The sequence below is a fragment of the Homo sapiens genome, chromosome 1, assembly GCF_000001405.40.
Source record: "Homo sapiens chromosome 1, GRCh38.p14 Primary Assembly".
NCBI lineage: Eukaryota > Metazoa > Chordata > Mammalia > Primates > Hominidae > Homo > Homo sapiens.
This window is the reverse complement of record NC_000001.11, coordinates 245041259-245060191: the sequence shown is the minus strand read 5'-3', so window position 1 is coordinate 245060191 and position 18933 is coordinate 245041259. Positions and strand designations below refer to the sequence as shown.

At 43.2% G+C, this 18933-nt stretch overlaps 1 protein-coding gene and 1 pseudogene across 22 annotated transcripts in view, besides 3 other annotated features; both read right to left on the bottom strand.

The window, feature by feature from the left end:
• Positions 1-18933, bottom strand: part of DRC8 (dynein regulatory complex subunit 8) — a 155548-nt gene that overhangs the window by 65038 nt on the left and 71577 nt on the right. For all 22 annotated transcript variants that reach the window (NR_026587.1, XM_017002543.2, XM_017002542.3 and 19 more), the window contains one exon: positions 734-806. Coding sequence is in view for 21 of the 22 variants with exons in the window: in XM_017002543.2 (XP_016858032.1) it covers positions 734-806 (73 nt within the window). In the remaining variant the exon portion in view is untranslated. The remainder of the gene's footprint in view (positions 1-733; positions 807-18933) is intronic.
• Positions 7616-8117: an enhancer, noted in NCBI's record as "H3K4me1 hESC enhancer chr1:245215377-245215878 (GRCh37/hg19 assembly coordinates)". NCBI's record gives its function as "activates a minimal SCP1, AML or CMV promoter by ChIP-STARR-seq in primed H9 embryonic stem cells {active_cell/tissue: H9 hESC(primed)}" and the evidence as "EXISTENCE:reporter gene assay evidence [ECO:0000049][PMID:30033119]".
• Positions 12661-13161: an enhancer, noted in NCBI's record as "NANOG-H3K27ac hESC enhancer chr1:245210333-245210833 (GRCh37/hg19 assembly coordinates)". NCBI's record gives its function as "activates a minimal SCP1, AML or CMV promoter by ChIP-STARR-seq in naive H9 embryonic stem cells {active_cell/tissue: H9 hESC(naive)}" and the evidence as "EXISTENCE:reporter gene assay evidence [ECO:0000049][PMID:30033119]".
• Positions 13162-13662: an enhancer, noted in NCBI's record as "NANOG-H3K27ac hESC enhancer chr1:245209832-245210332 (GRCh37/hg19 assembly coordinates)". NCBI's record gives its function as "activates a minimal SCP1, AML or CMV promoter by ChIP-STARR-seq in naive H9 embryonic stem cells {active_cell/tissue: H9 hESC(naive)}" and the evidence as "EXISTENCE:reporter gene assay evidence [ECO:0000049][PMID:30033119]".
• RNU6-999P (RNA, U6 small nuclear 999, pseudogene) lies at positions 16160-16264 on the bottom strand (annotated as a pseudogene).

The window sequence follows — 18933 nt, the reverse complement described above, 5'->3', positions numbered from 1 at the left end:
TGCAAAATAAAGAGATAAAATTCCACCTCCTCACCTGTCTCCTGTTATCCCCTTTGCCATCCCCAGACTCCACTAAAATCTTTGTGCCTAGATAAGCAATTCTGAAAAGATTCTTCTCCTGGCCAGGTAGCTTTTTTCCCTTAAAGTCTCTGTTGTTGAACCGAATGCTGCATTTGAAATGAGATCAGAGACCTTTCTGGAAAGTCAAACAGAGCATGAAGCACTCTCATCGTGGGCTGCTCATCCACTGCCTTATGGGATCATTCACCTCCACTATTACACATGACTCGTTTTTAAACTTCTTAGACTCTCTGGTCAATGTAAAGTTCATTCTTGATATTTTATTCTGTTTACTACTTGTTCTAAAAGTTAGTTTTATTTCCCCAAATAAATAAAAATTCCTTACTGTCTCTGTCAATAGCCTTTCTGCATACGGTCAGCCCCTTGCATCTACTGGCCTCTTTTCAACTAATTTTACAGAGAGGATCATTTCTACAGTGGGTTCTTTATTTGATCAGTTGTGTTACTTGTTCATAGTCATTTCTTCAAGATCTGCTCAATTCTTTCAGATTTTGTTGGTTGGCTAATATGAATAGTTATCCTAATATTTCCACTGAGCACATTCAGTAGTTTGGGGCACTTTTTTTTAGTTTCCGGTAAGGATTGTTTTTAATTACAAGGAGTAGCTCTCACACAGAGAGCTGGCTGAATGAAACCTTTTCGCCGTACTCACCTCTGCAATCAGATCATGCAGCTCTCCTTCCGTAGGACAGCATCCTAATGACCTGATAATTGTTCCAATCTCTCTGGAAAAAAAAAAGTTTTCAATGGTTTTAGAATATAAACTCCGAAAAGGCCAGGTTTCTCCAAATTATCTCAGAGCATATTTTGTAATGTAGGAAACCAAATCACTCCGATATTGCCTCATGATTATAAAAGATGTTTTCTGGGGAAAGAAAAAGGAGGATAAGTGAACCAAAGAAAGATGAAAGAAATGGTTTCATTGACTGGCAAATGCCTTGCCTGGGCCAATATAAAAAAGTTCTAGAAAGAAAAAGAAACATTGGCCATGTACCAACTGACGTTAAGTGTTACTTAACTCTTTTGAGCCTCAGTTTCCACACCTGTAAAATGGGGATGATAATGTCTACCGCAGAGTTTTGTGGTGAAGTTGACATTAGTATCAGAGTGTTAAAAGCATGGCCTCTAGCGCCAAACCACTAGGGTTCAAATCCCAGCTCTGTGACTTACTAGATTGGAGAGATCACCTACCTAATCAATGTGTGCATAAGCCTACCTGGTAGGTAAAACACAGTGACTTCCTTCAAACACTAAGAACCAGGAAGGGGGATACACTAAGGGTTAAATAAGAAGAGCTATCATAATACAAAGCACATCTCCTGGCAGAGCAGCGACTCAATAAATATGAGTTATTCACCTCTCCCTGCCCCCATCATAACGTAGTTCAATTCCACAAATAACCTAAGAAAAGTATAAATGCTATTCAATACTCTCTGAATATTAAGACAGGGATGTGTAATTGATTACGAAATACTTCCATTCAAAATTATCAAAATTAAAGTTGTAATGTTTGAATGTTAATTTAATTTCGCAAATATTCACTTAACTAGAGTAGTTAATTTCTTTACCACTCTGGATAATTTTAGTGGTATTATATTTACTCCCTATTTACAAAGAAAACGTTTTAAATAAGAATTTTAAATTTCTTCACTGAAAGAGGTTGCAGAATAAGTATCAACTTAAAAGTGAAACCTAAAGTCAGTAACTGTGGAATATAGGATTCTTTTCACTTACTCATCTTCCTTCTTAATAAATGAAGGGCCAACAAAACATGTACTATCCTCATGTCAAGTATATTTCCTTTTTTCCCATTTTCTTGTTTTTTTTCTTTCATATAGCAAAGATATTATTATTATTATTATTATTTTTAGAAAGGGTCTTGCTTTTGTTGTCCAGGCTGGAGTGCAGTGATGCAATCTCAGCTCACTGCAGCCTTGACTTCCCAAAACTCAGGTGATCCTCCCACCTCAGCCTCCCAAGTAGCTGGGACTACAGATGTGCACCACCATGCACGGCTAATCGCACATTCTCACTCTTATTGCAGGCAAGAGTTTTGAAGGAGGGCAACACAAATCGCACATTCTCACACTTACTGGAGCTAAATAAGTTGGTCTCAGGGAGGTAGAGAGTAGAATGATGGTTACCAGAGGCTGGGAAGGGAAGAGGAGAAGGAGGACAAAGAGATATTGGGTTAATAGGAACAAATATATTAGTTAGATAGAAGGAGTAAGTTCCAGTATTTGATAGTACAGTAGGAAAATTAGAGTGAACAATTTATTCTATTTTCAAAATAGCAAGAAGAGAAGAATTATAATGTTCCCAACACAAAGATAAACGTTTGAGGTGATGGATATCCCAATTGCCCTGACTTGATCATTACACATTGTATGCAGGTATCAAAATAGCCCACGGACCTCATAAATATGTACAACCATGATATATCGACTTTTTAATTACCAAAAAAAAAAAAAGATTTTTGAAGGAGACAAGATTGGGAAAAGACAAATTCTAGGCCCGTGCTAGACCAAACAGCAGCCACCAACTACATCTGGCTATTATGCATTTGAAATGTGACTACTGCAAATGGAAATGTACTGTCAGTGTAAAATACACACTGATTCCAAAAGCTTAGTATGAAAAAGAAAATGCAAAATAGCTCATTAATAATTTTTAATATTGGTTACATGTTGAAATGATAACACTTTAGACACATTGGGTTAAATAAGATACGTTGTTAAAATTAATTTTACTTGTGTTAAATTATTAGGCTCGTGCAAAATTGTGGGTTTTGCCATTAAAAGGGCAAAAACTGCAATTACTTTTGCACCAACCTATATAAGTTTCGCCTAAAGCTGCCTCCTTACATGTTTTAAGCTTGACCTAGAGGTTTCCGCATATATAGTGAACTGCAACCTAACCGGATGTTACAACAGACATAACCTACTCATGCCCCAATCACAGAGTTTCGGCCAATCACAGCCAACGGTTCAAACCTTGTTCAAAGGAGGCCAACTTCGAGCTGTAACTACACCAGCTGTTTCTGCACCTCACTTCCATTTTCCGTACATCACTTCCCTTTTTTTGGAAGGGTGAGCTGATTCTCAGATGGTTCTTTGCTCAATTAAATTCTGTTAAATTCAATTTGTCTAAAGTTTTCCTTTTTCTTTTTTTTTTTGAGATGGAGTCTTGCTCTATCTCCAGGCTGGAGTGCAGTGGCACAATCTCGGCTCACTGCAACCTCCATCTCCCGGGTTCAAGCAATTCTCCTGCCTCAGCCTCCTGAGTAGCTGGGACTACAGGCATGGGCCGCCACGCCCAGCTAATTTTTTGTATTTTTAGTAGAGATGGGGTCTCACCATGTTGGCCAGGATGGTCTTGATTTCTTGACCTCGTGATCCACCCACCTCAGCCTCCCAAAGTGCTGGGATTACAGGCGTGAGCCACCACACCCGGCCTTGTCTAAAGTTTTTCTTCCAACACCTGTTTCTTTTTTACTTGAAAAAATGTGGCTAACAGAAAATGGAAAATGATAGACTATGCAAACTCCTTCTGGACAGGGCTTTTCTAGGGAAGAGCTTCCATCTGGAGTCAGACTGAGAAGAGAGCAGATAAGGAGAAAGTGAGAATTCCACTGTGCTGTGTCAGCAACAGAAGCCTCCATGTTCCTCTCTGGGACACTCCCAGCTACTCAGGAGGCTGAGGCAGGAGAATCGCTTGAACGCAGGAGGCGGAGGTTGCAGTGAGCTGAGATGGCACCACTGCTCTCCAGCCTGGGCAACAGAGTGAGAATCTGTCTCAAAAAAAAAAGTATTAAGCAAATGTAAGGTATGGAAATTTGTGTCACAATCTCACATACGGTACTTGAGTAACCTGAGTATAAAATGTCTACCTTGGGTACAGTATTAACAGGATACAGGAGGAGCTGGTAACATTAACTGGAGGGTGGAGAATGCCTTGGAGGAGAGCAGGTGGCAGGGGCAAAGGCTGGAGGAAGTCTTTTCAGCATCTACCTTTTGAATCTTTTGAATTACAAACAAATGAATACATACATTTTAAATTAAGTAACTTAGTCTCAGCTACTAGGAAGGCTGGGGCAGGAGGACGGCTGGAGGCCAGGGGTTCAAGGCTGCAGTGAGCTATTACACACCTGTAAATGGCCACTGCACTCCACCTGGGCAGCACAGCAAGACCCTGTCTCTAAAAACATTTCGTAATAAAACAACTTACAACTTCATAAAATGAATATTCTAGCTGGATGATAAAAGGCTGTAATTGTCTTAAACACATAAGAGAAGCACAGTCTGACCCAGGGATAGGCAGCGAGCGGCAAGAAGAGCAAATAAACCTAAGAGAGAGTTCGAAGGAGTCATCAGACTTCATGAGGGAGAGGAAAGTCAAAAGAGTTAAGAATTTCTTATCAGTTGGTAATGAGTTACAAATATCGAGGACTGCATCAATCACTGAGTTCAGAAAATAGAAGGAGAAACAGGCCAGGCGCGGTGGCTCACATCTGTAATCCCAGCACTCTGGGAGGCTGTGGGTGGGAGGATCACTTGAGGCCAGGATTTCAAGACCAGCCTGGGCAACACAGCAAGACTGCCATGTCTACAAAAAATTTTAAAAATTAGTCGAGTGTGGTGGCACGTGCCTGTAGTCCCAGCTACTCAGGAGACAGAGATGGCAGGATCGGTTGAGCCGAGGAGTTCAAGGCTGCAGTGGACTATGATCCTGCAATTGTACTCCAGCCTGGGTGACAGAGTGAGATCGTGTCTCTAAAAGAAATACCAATAAATGTGCAAAATAAATAAAAATAAATTTTTAAAAAGGAAGTAAAAAAGTTTAGGTGAAGGGAAATGAAGAGTTCAATCTGGGACATGTTGAATTTCCAACATGCTTGTTCTTGCTGGTTATGCCATGAAAACCCTGACCATCTCTCAGGGCTATGCCGCAGTGAGCAGCCTCGAGAGATGACATAATGTCTCCCTCCAGGCCAAAGAGCAGGCTTGCTTCCTGCTTGCTATAAAAGCAGTAGATATCCCCTGTTCTGTTCCCTGAAATTCTCTGTTCTGAAAGCTCTGTTCCCTTTCTGTGATGCCACCCATTTCCTGTGCAGGCATCCAGCTGGGCCCATCACCAGGAAAAGGTGAGGGCAGGAGTAACTGTCACCCACAAGCTGATGCTCATGTTGCCTGCTGTGCCAAGAGGAATGAAGTCCTTTGTCACTGACTCAGGAGTCTCAAGTCTTGTGCCAACATCCATGAGACAGTAACAAGCTAACTTGCTAGCTTACAAGTGGGGTAAAATCAAACCACAGACTTGATACTCATAAGAGTGCGAAGTGCAGGAGAAGGATCTGGCTGGAGACGTGGATCCGGTCATGAAGCCACAGGAGCAGAAGAGCTCCTCTACGTAGAATGTATTGGCTGGGAAAGAGAAGGAAGAGGTCTGAGGAGTACCCACATTCAAGGAACGATCCAAGAAAGAGGAACCCGCATGAGAGATGGAGCAGAGCAGCCAGAGAGGGAAGTGAACATCCAGGAGAGGGCCGGGGCGTGGAGGCTAAGGAGAAAAAAAATGGAAAGTCATCCTTGGCTTTCCGATGCTGCTGAGAGGTCGAGGGAGGTAAATTCTGAGAAACAGCCACTGGAGTTAGTAAAAAAGGAGATCAGCTATGATTTTGACAAGGGCACTCTCCGTTGAAGGTGGAGGAGAAATTAGATTGCAGTGGGTCAAGGAGGATCTAAGAAGTGAAAGGGAGAAGTCAGGCATGGTGACAGATGCCGGTAGTCCCAGCTACTCATGAGGCTGAGGCGTGAGGATCACTTGAGCCCAGAGGAAGTGGGGGCGAAGGTTGCAGTGAGCAGAGATCGTGATGTGAACAGACACTGACTTGGCACTCCAGCGTGGGCAACATACACAGACCCCCACATCAAAAAACAAACAAACAAAAACCCCAAAAAACAAACAGAAGTAAAGGGGAGGGAAGGGGTGTCTGGAGAGGAACATGGTGTTAAAGAGGATGTTTTTTCTTTTTTGATACTGAAGACCTGAATGATGTGAGCATATTTTAATGCTACTGGGAAAGAGCCCGTGCAAAGAAGGCTGATGCGGGCGTTGTTCACTGGGTGGGTGGGTTTCCTGAGAGGGTGGGAGGGCCTTGGCCAGGCACTTAGCGCTCAGTGTTCTTCCAGCCACCCCCATCCTAGGTCCTGCCGCCTGCAAGGTGCTACATGTGAGAGAATGGCAAGTTCTTCCCTATCATAGGAAATTTCCCTCTCCCTCTTTCACATCCCCTTGAGGAACCCATCACCATCCTCTTCTCTGCTGAGCGAATCTGCTATGGTCTCACCTGCCCGGGTAGACCCCAGAAAACAAAGCCCACGTGATTGACATCTTGCAGGCATTAAGCAACTTCTTTCTCTCTAGTCTCGAATCACAAAGGCCTGATGATATAAGAAAAAAAGGCAAAGATTCTTTTGCTGATGAGGCCACAGTGGCCTGAAGAACAATACCACGGCTTCCTCAAGAACTCTCCCTGTACACCTACAAACTGCTCCACTAGCCCACCTATATCTCACCTATGTTCTTCTCTTTTCCTCTACTGCACTGGATGAGGTTCCTTCCTCTTATGGAAAGCTAATCTCTCCATTGAGCTCTGGGGCCCTGGAAGCTGTGCTAAGGCTCCCTGTGGCTGAGCCTGGTGCAGACGACACGGATGCTGTCCCTGTCTCAGGCCTAGACAGCTCATGAGCACAATGCTTTTCCTCTCTCCAGTTTCCCCCAGAGACTGCACTAAGCCTTGGAGTCCCAGAACAGCAAGTCTTCTCTGAGTATCATTGATGGGTTCTTGGAAACTACAACCGTAAGCAAAAGGACATATAACAAAACCATTTTTTTTTCTCATCAACTTTGTAACAACATTATTCAAAGACTTGCTGTACATCATTTCATTTAAAGTCGCAGTTTCCAACAACTGATTGAAAGGTTAAGAGAAGACTTACTGTACAATATAAGAGCCAAAAAGAAGCCACGAAAACTACTAACTTTTTATTGGTCTTGACAAGTAGGGGCACAAGATTTAATCAGACTTAGAAAAGTAATGTGACTTATCTGTTATCTCAAGTTTTATCATACAATTCATATCTGTATCCCTAGTTTGTCTTTGGAAATGGGATGATGAAGAAACTCACATAAAAAGACTTCTCTGTCCTCTGTGTAGTACAAGGCAAGGTCCTCTGCTGAGAGTGAATGGCACGGAAGAAAAGAGACAGTCTGAGCTGTGGCTGCGCTCCCTCCAGCACTTACCGTCACCACAACTTGCCACCAGGTGTGTATCTCTCAAGATGGCAAGCCTCCTTCTCACTCTCACATTCTAAAACCTGCACTTCTCCAGAGCTGCTGGGTATTTCTGGGTGCTCCCCAGAGGCCCCCTCTATTCTTCTCCACCTGCCCAGCTTCTCCAGCCGACTGACCTCTGCTTCTGTGCCAGGCTCCCTTGCCTCAGGCTCCCTGCTGTGCGCAGTCAACACAAGGCATGGCATGCATCTTCTACTGCTGTGTAACAAGCTGCCCGCCACAGAGTGATGGAATCAACCACGGCTTATTCTTTTCCGCCATCCTGCGGGTTGGCTGCGTGGTTCCTCCGCTAGCTTGGCCTAGGCTCACTCACGCAGCTGTGCTTGGCAGTTAATCTACACACGGCTGCTCAGTCCTCTACACTCAGCCACTCAAAATGGCCACTGTCACCACCCTGAACTCTGGGCCCTTCACCCTCCATCCTGCCTGCTGTTAGTCCATAATCCTGAACATCTCAATTTTCACTTTCTTTGTTCCTGCAAAGCACTGCTGCAATAAATAATAAAATAAAAAAGCGTGGCCTATGACAAATTCACCCCCATCCAACATCAAATCTGTCCTGGGTGTTGCCTAACAATCCGCTCAGTCGTCTGTTGACTTCCTGGCAAACTCCCTCAAAACAGCTATTCTGCAGCATCTCTTGCCTCAAGCTCCAAAGTACTCCCTCCCTTCATCTCAGAAAACGTCCTTATCACCCACTTCCCTCCCTTCATCTCAGAAAACGTCCTTATCACCCACTGCACTCAACAGATGTGAACTGCACGATCACTGGGTGCTATTATTAATCCTCACGTCACCTTTACAGTCGCTGACTTTGTACCACTTTAGAGGAATGTCCTATAGCTCTTGCCTCGTGCTCGTAGCCTTGGAGAAATAAAAAGTGCTCCTCCTCAAAGAAGCAAATCTCCCTCTTAGTTTTTCGTTTCCACACTCAGCTCTTGTTCTTCACACAATTACCTCTCCCTCTCAGCATCTTCATTATTTTCTTTATTAGCTGTTTCCTCTTTTGCCTTAAAATATTCAGGTATCTTCCTTATCTTGAAAAAACTTGATAGGTGCTTCGCCACTCTATTCTATTTCCCGGCTTCCTTTCACTAATCACAACACTTCTTCTAAATGGCTTATCTTGTAACCGCCAGCTTCATTTCGCAACATCCACCCCATGCCTCACCGCGCTGCAGAATCCTGCCATCGGTAGCTCTCCACTGCTCAGCCAATCAGCCAGTGTCTCCCTCCCACTCCCTCCCTTCCCTCCTCATCTCCACTTCCCTTTCTCCAATAACCTCCTTACTGTCCCCTACCCCCAAGCTTCTGGCTGCAAAATAATATCGATGGTTTTGTCTTCCTTTTGGGTGGGGGGGATTGAGGAGATGGGGTCTGCTCTGTTACCCAGGCTGGAGAAGTGGCACGATCACACTCACTACATACTCAAACTCCTGGGCTCAAGCGATTCTCCTGCTTCAGCCTTCCGAGCAACTGAGACTACAAGTACACACCATCATGCCCAGCTGATTTTTTTTTTTTCTTAATAGAGACAGAGTCTTGCTATGTTGCCCAGGCTGGTCTTGAACTCCTGGGATCAAGCAATCCTCCTACCTCAGCCTCCCAAAGTAGTGGGATTACAGGCATGAGCCTGGCCAGGTTGCTACAGTTTAAAGTATTACAGAAGGTGGCCTGGACAACATGGCAAGTCCCCATCTCTACCAAAAATTTTTTAAAAATTATTGGGGTATGGTGGCGCATGCCTGTAGTCCCAGCTACTTGGGGGAGGATTGCTTGAGCCCAGGAGGTTGAGGCTGCAGTGAACCGAGATCGTGGCACTGCACTCCAGCCTAGGCAACAGAGTGAAACCCTGTCTCAAAGTAAAAAAATAAAATATTTCAGAAGGCTAAGAGAATAAGCAGAATCTTAGATCTGGACAAAAAGAAGAGGACTGACCTCAATAAGAGCACTTGCAGAGGAGAAAAAGAGGAAGAAAAAACTCCAAAAAAGAGCCAGCAAAAAGAAAATTGAGATCACAAGTATAGAGTACACCGTGGAGGAATATGGCTATTAAAGAGAATGATGCACATCCTACCCAATAGCTGAGAGTTCCACAGCACTTACTGTGTGCCAGGGACTGTCCTGACACAGTAATCCCTACATTAACTCACTGAACCCTCACAACAACTAGGAGGTAGGTACTATTATTGTCCCCACTTTACAGATAGAAAACTAAAGCTCAAAGACATTAAATAACTTGTCAGGGATCACGTAGAGTTAATATTCAAGCAGTGACCCCCTCAGCACTAGGGAAATATAGGAGAGAGCTGGGGAGAAGTCTGACAAGAAGGATGAGTAGAAAACGGGGATGAGGGCTGGGCGCGGTGGGTCACGCCTGTTATCCCAGGAGTTTGGGAAGCCAAGGTGGGCAGATCACCTGAGGTCAGGAGTTCGAGACCAGCCTGGCCAGCATGGTGAAACCCCATCTCTACTAACAAGAGCGAAAATCCGTCTAATAAAAAAAGGGAAAAGAAAAAAGAAAAAAAAGACAACGGGGATAAGAACAAAAGAAAGTCACTCCCAATGGGAGAAAAGTAGATTAAGTAGCTTTCTGGCTCAAGAATGAACATCTTCTCTAGGTCTTCCAGGAGGAACAGTCCTCACATCCCTCTCCCCTTATACCAGGATCATGATCTGCATGGATGTGATGGCCTCTAGCCATCAGGTTCGTCTTCGCAGAATCCAGTTCTACAGTGACTTATTACGCGTGCCAGACTCTGGTGTAAGGTGCTTTAAATATTCTTCCTCACTTCTTCCTCATGACAGCTTTGTGTGAAAGGTACTATTTTACAGATGAGGAAAAGTGAACCACAGAAAGGTTAAGACATTTTCCCAAGATCACACCGGTAGCAAATGGTGGAAACGGGATTCACACACACAGCCTAGCTCTCATGCTACCTGCCACTGCGACTGCTGCCTCTCACAAATCTCAGTCAAGCACTTGGACTTAAAGGAGAACTTCTGAACTATACCACAGTGCTTCCAAAGAAAGCTGTGGATATTCCACCCCACGGGAGCTTTGACCGTAGATCCAGGGCCGCAAATTGTTGACCCAAGTGACAAATTTGGCCATCGGGTATTTTTGTTGTTGTTGTTGTTGATGATTTTTTCTTATTACAGTTTTTTTTTAGTCTAGGATTGGCGTGTTTATTTGTTTAGGTGGGGCATACATACATGTCATGAGTACAGTATGAACTCTGTCAGATTCTCACTTTTATATCACAGGCTGGCCCCCATAAGAATTTCGGTCTATCACTCCCAGAAAATATCAGTTTTGTACTGTTTAGAAATGCACCTGCAAGAAGCAGAGGAATGAGCCAAATGACACCTTAACCCAAGTGATCTGACTCTAAGGTTATTTTTAAGAGCACACACAGACACTGTGGCTTATGTAAGAGAATGTTCTTGTCTTAGAAGACCTACACTGAGGCTGGGCACGGTGGCTCATGCCTGTAATCCCAGCACTCTGGGAGGCCGAGGTGGGTGGATCACTTGAGGCCAGGAGTTGGAGACCAGCCTGGCCCACATGGCAAAACTTTGTCTCTACTAGAAATACAAAAATTAGCCAGCTGTAGTGGTACACACCTGTAAGTCCAGCTACTCGAGAGGCTGAGGCATGAGAATCACTTGAACCTGGGAGGTGGAGGTTGCGTGAGTCGAGATCGAGCTACTGCACTCCCATCTGGGTGATGGAGTGGGACTCTGTCTCAAAAAAAAAAAAAAAAAGAAAAGAAAAAGAAAGAAAGGAAGACCCCAGCGGTGCACACCTATAGTCCCAGCTACTTGGGAAACTGGGGTGGGAGGACCACTTGAGCCCAGGAGTTCATGTCCATTTCCCACCTGGACAATATAGCAAGACACCTTTCTCCAAAAAGAAAGAAAGAAAGAAAGAAGATCCACAGTGAAGCATTTCAGGGAAAGGTTACAATGTTTACAGTTTACTCTCAAATAGTCTAGCAAAATGGTGATGATGAAAATAACAATAATAATAAAATGTATAAATAGGTATGTGTGTTTGTGCATATATAGAGAGAAACGGGGGAGAGAGGGAGAAGGAGAAAGAGGAGGCAAAAACAAATGTGGCAGATCATGAGGGATTGGCGAATCTAAGTAAAAGTGTGCAGGAGTTCAGGGCAACACTCTTACCGTTTAGAAGTTTGAAATTTTTTAAATAAAAAGATTTTATTTAAAAAAAAAACAAGATAAGCACATTTCACTCTCATCCATCAAAACCACAGTAATAACAAAGGATAACAGAAACCCTGCCTCATATACATAAACTACTTATACAACAATTTACTCTGGTGTTATACTATCTGTATCACTTTGGCTTCAGAAGCTGGTTATGAAGGATGTCTTAATCCTCAGTTTCATAACAAAATATATTAGTTACAACATTTTCACTCAGTACTTCAGAAACTTGGAGACCCTGGATAGACCTAAAATATTGTTTCCTGAAGTAAAAGTTGAGATGAGGCTGTGTATCAGCCTACCATTCCTTGCAGGTAAAAGAAAGGCACAGTGGACCCTTCAACAACATGGTGTGAACAACACAAGCCCACTTAGATGTGGATTTTCTCCTGCCTCTGCCACTCGAAACAAGACCAACCCCTCTTCCTCCTCCTCCTCCTCCTCAGCCTCCTCCATGTGAAGATGATAATCAAGACCTTTATGATGATCCACCTCCTCTTAAGGAGGAGTAAATATATTTTCTCTTCCTTTTTTTTTTTTTTTTTTTGAGACAGAGTCCAGCTCTCTCACCCAGGCTGGAGTGCAGTGGCACCATCTCAGCTCACTGCAACCTCCGCCTCTGGGGTTCAAGCGATTCCCCTGCCGCAGCCTCTCAAATAAGAGATTACAGGTACGTGTCACCATGTTCCACTAAGTTTATTTTTTTATTTTTAGTAGAGACGAGGTTTCACCATGTTGGCCAAGCTAGTCTCAAACTCCTGACCTCAAGTGATCCACCTGCTTTGGCCTTCCAAAGTGCCAGTGCTGGGATTGCAGGCATGAGCCACTGCACCAGCCCCTTATGATTTTCTTAATAACATTTTCTTTTTCGTTTTTTTTTTTTTTTGGAGATGGAGTCTAGCTCTCTCGACCAGGCTGGAGTGCCGTGGCACCATCTCAGCTCTCTACAACCTCCACCTCCCAGGTTCAAGCGATTCTCCTGCCTCAGCCTCCTAAGTAGCTGGAATTACAGGCGCCCGCCACCACGCCTGGCTAAGTTTTGTATTTTTAGTGGAGATGGGGTTTTACCATGTTGGCCAGGCTGGTCTTGAACTCTTGGCCTCAAGTGATCCACCTGCCTTAGCCTCCCAAAGTGCTAGGATTACAGGCGTGAGCCACTGCGCCTGGCCTAATGTTCTCTCTTATTAAAGTAACATTAGTTTACTTTAGTGTAAGAATACAGTAGATAATCCATATAACATATAAAATATGTGTTAATTGACATTTATGTTATCAGTAAGGTTTTCAGTCCACAGCAGGCTGTTAGTTGTGTTTTGGGAGAGTCAAAAGTTACACGTGGGTTTTCAACGGTAGGGGAGATCAGTGCTCCAAACCCCCACGCTGCTGGAGTCAAGTGTGTGTGGAAAAGACGAAGCCCTTTTCATCCTTCACGAAGGCTGATGAAAGCAGCACTGCGAGTGGCTCCCTGCTGCTGGAAGAGAGATGGCTTTTCAGATGGACTCGTTGAGCCCCAGGCTCAGCTCATCAGCGGTAGCAATGGCTCGCCCTCTAAAACGGAGCAGCGGCTCCCAGCTGAAGGATCACACTGACCTCAGCTCAAGGCAGCTCACCAGTCAGGTGCCTTTCAGTGGCAATTTGTTGACATAGTTGCCCAGTAAAGGCAATATAAGAGAGCGAGTGAGAAGAAAAAAATACAAGGGCAAATGAGGTAGGGGAAGGGAGGTGGTGTTTAAATATTAATCGCCCTTTCCTCTCAAATGTCTCTTTCCTCAAATGATAATGAAATGAGATGCATTTATTTCAAAAGGACTTCCAAATTCCTTGAGATGAGAATAAAAACAAATTACAGCAGAAGCAAAAACGACTCAGAGCTTCTCTTGTCCTCCCATGTTCTGAAATACGGGGCTAGAGGCAAAAATGACCGAATGATCCTATGCACTATCCTCGCATCGTATTTCTGGTGCCAAAGACATGGGAAAACAGCAGAAGGGGCCAGGTGAGCCCTGCACATGTCCAGATGGTATCCGGATGGAGCTGGGATCCTGGCCACAGTGGAGGAAACCGTATTGCTAACAGTTCAGCCTCAGGAGTAGTGAGGATCCTAAAGGTGAGCTAAGAATAAAAGAGACAGCGAGAAGGAGCACAGGTCAGGAAAATATGAGGCCATTAATTCTGAGAAAGAGATCGAGGTCTGTCTGCAAAGGGAGACAGCTGAAGAGAAAAATGTAAAAACACTGAAATAAGTGAAAAGAAAGTTACAGGAGATAGGAAAAAAATTCATAGCTTAATGATGAAAATAAAAGAAAGAAGTTTAGAAATAAGAAAACAAGACATTAGACAGGAACTAGAAAATGAAACAAAAATATAACATAATTGATAAAATCATATATAATATTAAGGTTGGTTAACCTATTTCTACTAAATGAAACTTTGAATTAAGTGAATTGATTGAAGATTCAAGTAAAGCTTTTAGGCCAGGCTGAGGCAGGGCAATAGGGTCTGGAGGCAGGGATCCTAAGGCTATTTCACACTGACTTCCTAGAACTAAATTGAAAGGAAAACCCTAACTTTCCAGCCTAAGTAACAAAAGGACCAGAGGCTACTCCCTTTGCAAACTCACTACCTTTTCTGGTAGGCAGATGGGAAATTGGCTGTCTGCAACAAACCAGACTGACTGCGGGTTGAGTCTTCGTTTGCATCTTTGTTCACTCCGGCCTCTGAATGGTTGCTGTCCACAACCAGTCAGACCGATGGCTGCTGTCCACAACCAGTCAGACTAATGGCCTGCCAAGTCTGTTTGCACAGAGGTATAACTTTGTAACTTCACCCTAGCCTCTGATTGGCTGCGAAAACCAACTCCTGTTTGCACAGGGGTGTGACCTTTGTAACTTCACTTCAGCCTCTGGTTGGCTGCTTTCTGCAACCATTCAGACTGACTGTGGGCTAGCACTTCATTTACATGAGATGGACGTGAAGTGGCCAATGGAAAACTGCTAGCGGGTATTTGGACCCAAGAAGATTCTGCATCTGGACCCTGGAGCTGCTGCTCTGGCCCACTCCCACACTGTGGAGTGTACTTTCATTTTCAATGAATCCCTGCTTTTGTTCTTTTGTTGCTTCATACTTTGCTTTGCTTTGCTGGGCATTTTGTCCAATTCTTTGTTCAAAATGCCAAGAACCTGGACAACTTGCAGTCACAACCCTCGACCAGTGACAAGGCAAGGTGGCTCACACCTGTGATCCCAGCACTGTGGAAGGCTGAGGCGGGAGGACCACCTGTGTCCAGGAGTTCAAGACCACCCTGAGCAATACAGTAAGAACCTGTTTCTACAAAAAAATGTAAAATTAGCCAGGCATGGTGGTGTGTGGCTGTAGTTCCAGCTACCCTGGAGGCTGAGATGGGAGGATGACTTGAGCAGGTGAGGTTGAAGCTGCAGTGAGCTCTGTGATGCTGCCATCACACGGCAGCCTGGGTGACAGAACAAGACTCTGTCTCAACATAAATAAATTCAATTAAATTAAAGCAACCTTTTAAAACCATTTTTAACATTATTAAAATTATTAAAGAATTTAAATTATTGAAGTTATCTTTTCAAAAAACTATTTAAAAAACTGAAACCAAGCCAGCCATGGTGGCTCACACCTGTAATCCCAGCACTTTGTTGGGGCTGGGTCGGGGGAGGGGGTACCGAGGTAGGTGGATCACTTGAGGTCAGGAGTTCAAGACCAGCCTGACCAACATGGTGAAATGCCATCTCTACTAAAAATACACAAACACACACACACAAATAGCCAGGCGTGGTGGCAGGCGCCTGTAATCCCACCTACTAAGGAGGCTGAGGCAGGAGAATCCCTTGAACCCGGGAGGTAGAGCCGAGATGGTGCCACTGCACTCCAGCCTGGGCAACAGAACGAGACTCCGTCTCAAAAAAAGTAAATAAATAAATAAATAAATAAATAAATAAATAAATCCAGCCTGGGCGACAGAGTGAGACTCCGTCTCAAAAATAAATAAATAAATGATAAAATAAAATAAAAAACTGAAACCAATGTAGTAAAATAAAATTAAAATCGTTTTTTAAAGTTTAATAATTCCTTCTTTTGTTAAGTTTTTGGAGTAGAGAAAAAACATATAAACTCGTTTTGCATATAGTAATGGGCTGGTTATCACTGGCTCCTCATAGGCAAAAAGTCCTGATTTGGATCCTTTTTTATTTCCATTGTGGTTTTATTTCCATTGTTCCAAGATCGATTTCAAGCTGCCAATTACAAACATGAAATCACTAAAGGTGGAGTCTGGAAGAAATGACAATAGCATACCATTATATGGTACATCCACCACACATACACTAGACACAAATAACCTCAAAGTATGAGTAAAATATAATAAAGTAATTACGAAGTGGTAAATTGTATTTATTACAATTACCTTTCTTTTTGTCATTGTTAATAAAAGCATTTATTTTGCATTTAATACAGAATAACCTGAAAAAATATGGAACGCTTCACAAATGTGTGTGCCAGCCTGTGTAGGTGCCACGCTCATCTTCTCGATGTTGTTCTGATCTTAGATAAGTGCTGCTGAAGAAAGCACCCTTGTTTTTTAATATAACTGAATTGTCTATATAATTTATTTCTAATATAAACTAGCTTTAACAATAGTTTGCAGAACTCCTGAAATTTAGCCATTAGCTCTTGTGAGCTGGGATAAGTCGGCACGGTCTGGCTCCAGCACACCACTGACGCTGAGAGTCAAAATCACTTCATTCAGACAGCTAAAGAGGCCTTCCTGGGGCCGTCCCTGCACGGGTTCATCTCCTCAACAGCGAGAGTGGCCAGGAGCAACTCACTCAGTATTCTACCATGTACACAAAACAGAAATCAAATACTACTCTTGAAAATAAAATGTTGTCCCTTTGAAAAATAATTTTCTTCCTTTTAAATCGATTTCATGGGATTAAAAAAACGCTAACTCCTCAATTTTGGTAGGCTTTTGAAAGAAAGTGAAAATCAACTGTTCCATATAAAGTATTTAAAATATGCTGAGACATTTGATTTCTTTTTCTTTCTTTCTTTTTTTTTTTCCTTTGAGACAGAGTCTCGCTCTGTCGCCCAGGCTGGAGTGCAGTGGCATAATCTCGGCTCACTGCAACCTCCGCTTCCCAGGTTCAAGCAATTCTCCTGCCTCAGCCTCCCAAGTAGCTGGGATTACAGGTGCCCACCACCATGCCCAGCTAATTTTTTGTGTTTTTAGTAGAGACAGAGTTTCACCATGCTGGCCAGGCTGATCTCAAACTCCTGACTTCAAGTGATCCGCCCGCCTAGGTCTCCCAAAGTGCTGGTATTGCAGGCGTGAGCCACCGCACTCAGTCAACATTCGATTTCTTTTGTCAACGTAGATGTCTTATATTGATAAGAAGTACAAACTAACTCCAAAAGCCTTTATGGTTACAAGTATTAAAAATGTTTTTCTGTACCTGTGCTATATATATAGTAGTGGGCATAGGAGTAAGACTATTTGGAGCAAATGAGCCCCAATAAGGTGGCCCAATCGTGGTGTCATCATTTAATTATGTATAGCATTTGGACCACTTAAAATGTTTGACCCGGGGAAGCTTGGTTCTTGGCAGGCTGGCATTTAGTGGGTGTAGTATCAAGTTCCTGACACAAGGGGGAGCCAGTGCCATTGAGCTAGGCTGTGACTTCAGTTTAAGGGCAGCCTAAGGTCAAAAACACCAAAGTGAAGACCAGATTCAGAATATTTCACACAATTATAAGAGACAAAAAAAAATAGGCAAAACATTTTACCTGCTCTATTAAATAGCTAATATTATGCTAAGGATAAGAGAACATTTAAAGCAATCCAAAAATGTCTAAGGACAAAGCAGGATCTGAAAATGTTTTCATTCATTTAACAAATATTTGAACCCTATGATGTGCTGGTATCGTTTACAGAACAGCAGAGAACAAAATAAAGACCTCGCCCTTACGGAGGGCATTTTTCACACATGTACCTTATTTTGGAAAAGCCATGAAATGAAGGTAAAATAATGACGAAATCTCTTTCTTCAGCAGAGCTATTCTGTTCAAAAAAGGCCTCTTTTATCCAAGGTCCCTCTAATCAAGAGATCGTGTCTCCACTGCTAAGATATGCTTCCTGAACACCTGGTTCTAACTTGCTGCAGTGTTATTTCTTATATAGTCCTATGTGCTAGAGTTTGTAGCCCCCTAAAAAACTCTGGATCTCCTGTATATCATTAAAAACAAAAGCTCTACAAAATACTGGATATTACAGAGTGACTGAGAAACAATTTAACCACACGGTCACTTTTCATGTGCCATGGCGCAGGCACTCCGCAGCATTGCGATTACTATGAATTAGACAAAATCCCTGCTGTAATGGAACTTACAATCAAGGGAGTGAAAGAGTAAACATAAATAAATCTAAGCGAATTTTAGGTAGTGATAAATACAATGAAGAGATCAGCACCATACCCATGATTGTCATAGCTCTATCAGTTTGCTAGGGCTGCCATAACAAATTACCATAGACTGTGTGACTTAAACCACAGAAATTGATTTTCTCGGTTCCGGAGGCCAGAGGTCCCAGATAAAGGTGTCAGCAGGTCGGCTGCTTCTGGGGCCTTCCTCAATTTGTAGGCGCCACTTTTTCTCCCTGTGCCCTCACCTGGTCACCCCTCTGTGCGCGAGCATCCCACTGTCTCTCTGGGTGTCCAAACTTCCTCTTCTTAGGAGGACACAAGTCAGATTGGATTAGGGCCCACCCCAATGGCCTCATTTTAACTTAATCACCTCCCTTTTGTTTGGGCTTTTTAACTTAATCACCTCTTTAAAGACCTTATCTCCAACTAAGGTTTCATTCTGAGGTATACTGGAGGTTAAGACTTTAAAACACGAATTTGGAGGGGACGTAATTCAGCCCATAACAATAACAATAATGACATCTTACAACTTACTGCCACCACCAAGCTTGCCTGGCCACCATTCCCTCTTGCCTGCACCACTGCAATAGACCACAGGCTGTCATTCTGCTTCTGCTCTTGATGGCCATCTCAATCCATTCTCACAGCAGCCAGAACAATCTTTTTAAAATGAAAATCATAACATGTAATGCCCTGCTTAAAACCCTTCAATGGCTTTCTGGTCAACTTCTTCCTGATCAACTGCACCGAGAAACTTCTTTTTCACAGCATGTAATGCTCTACGTCATTTGGCCCTGCCAACGTTTTTGGCTTGATCTTA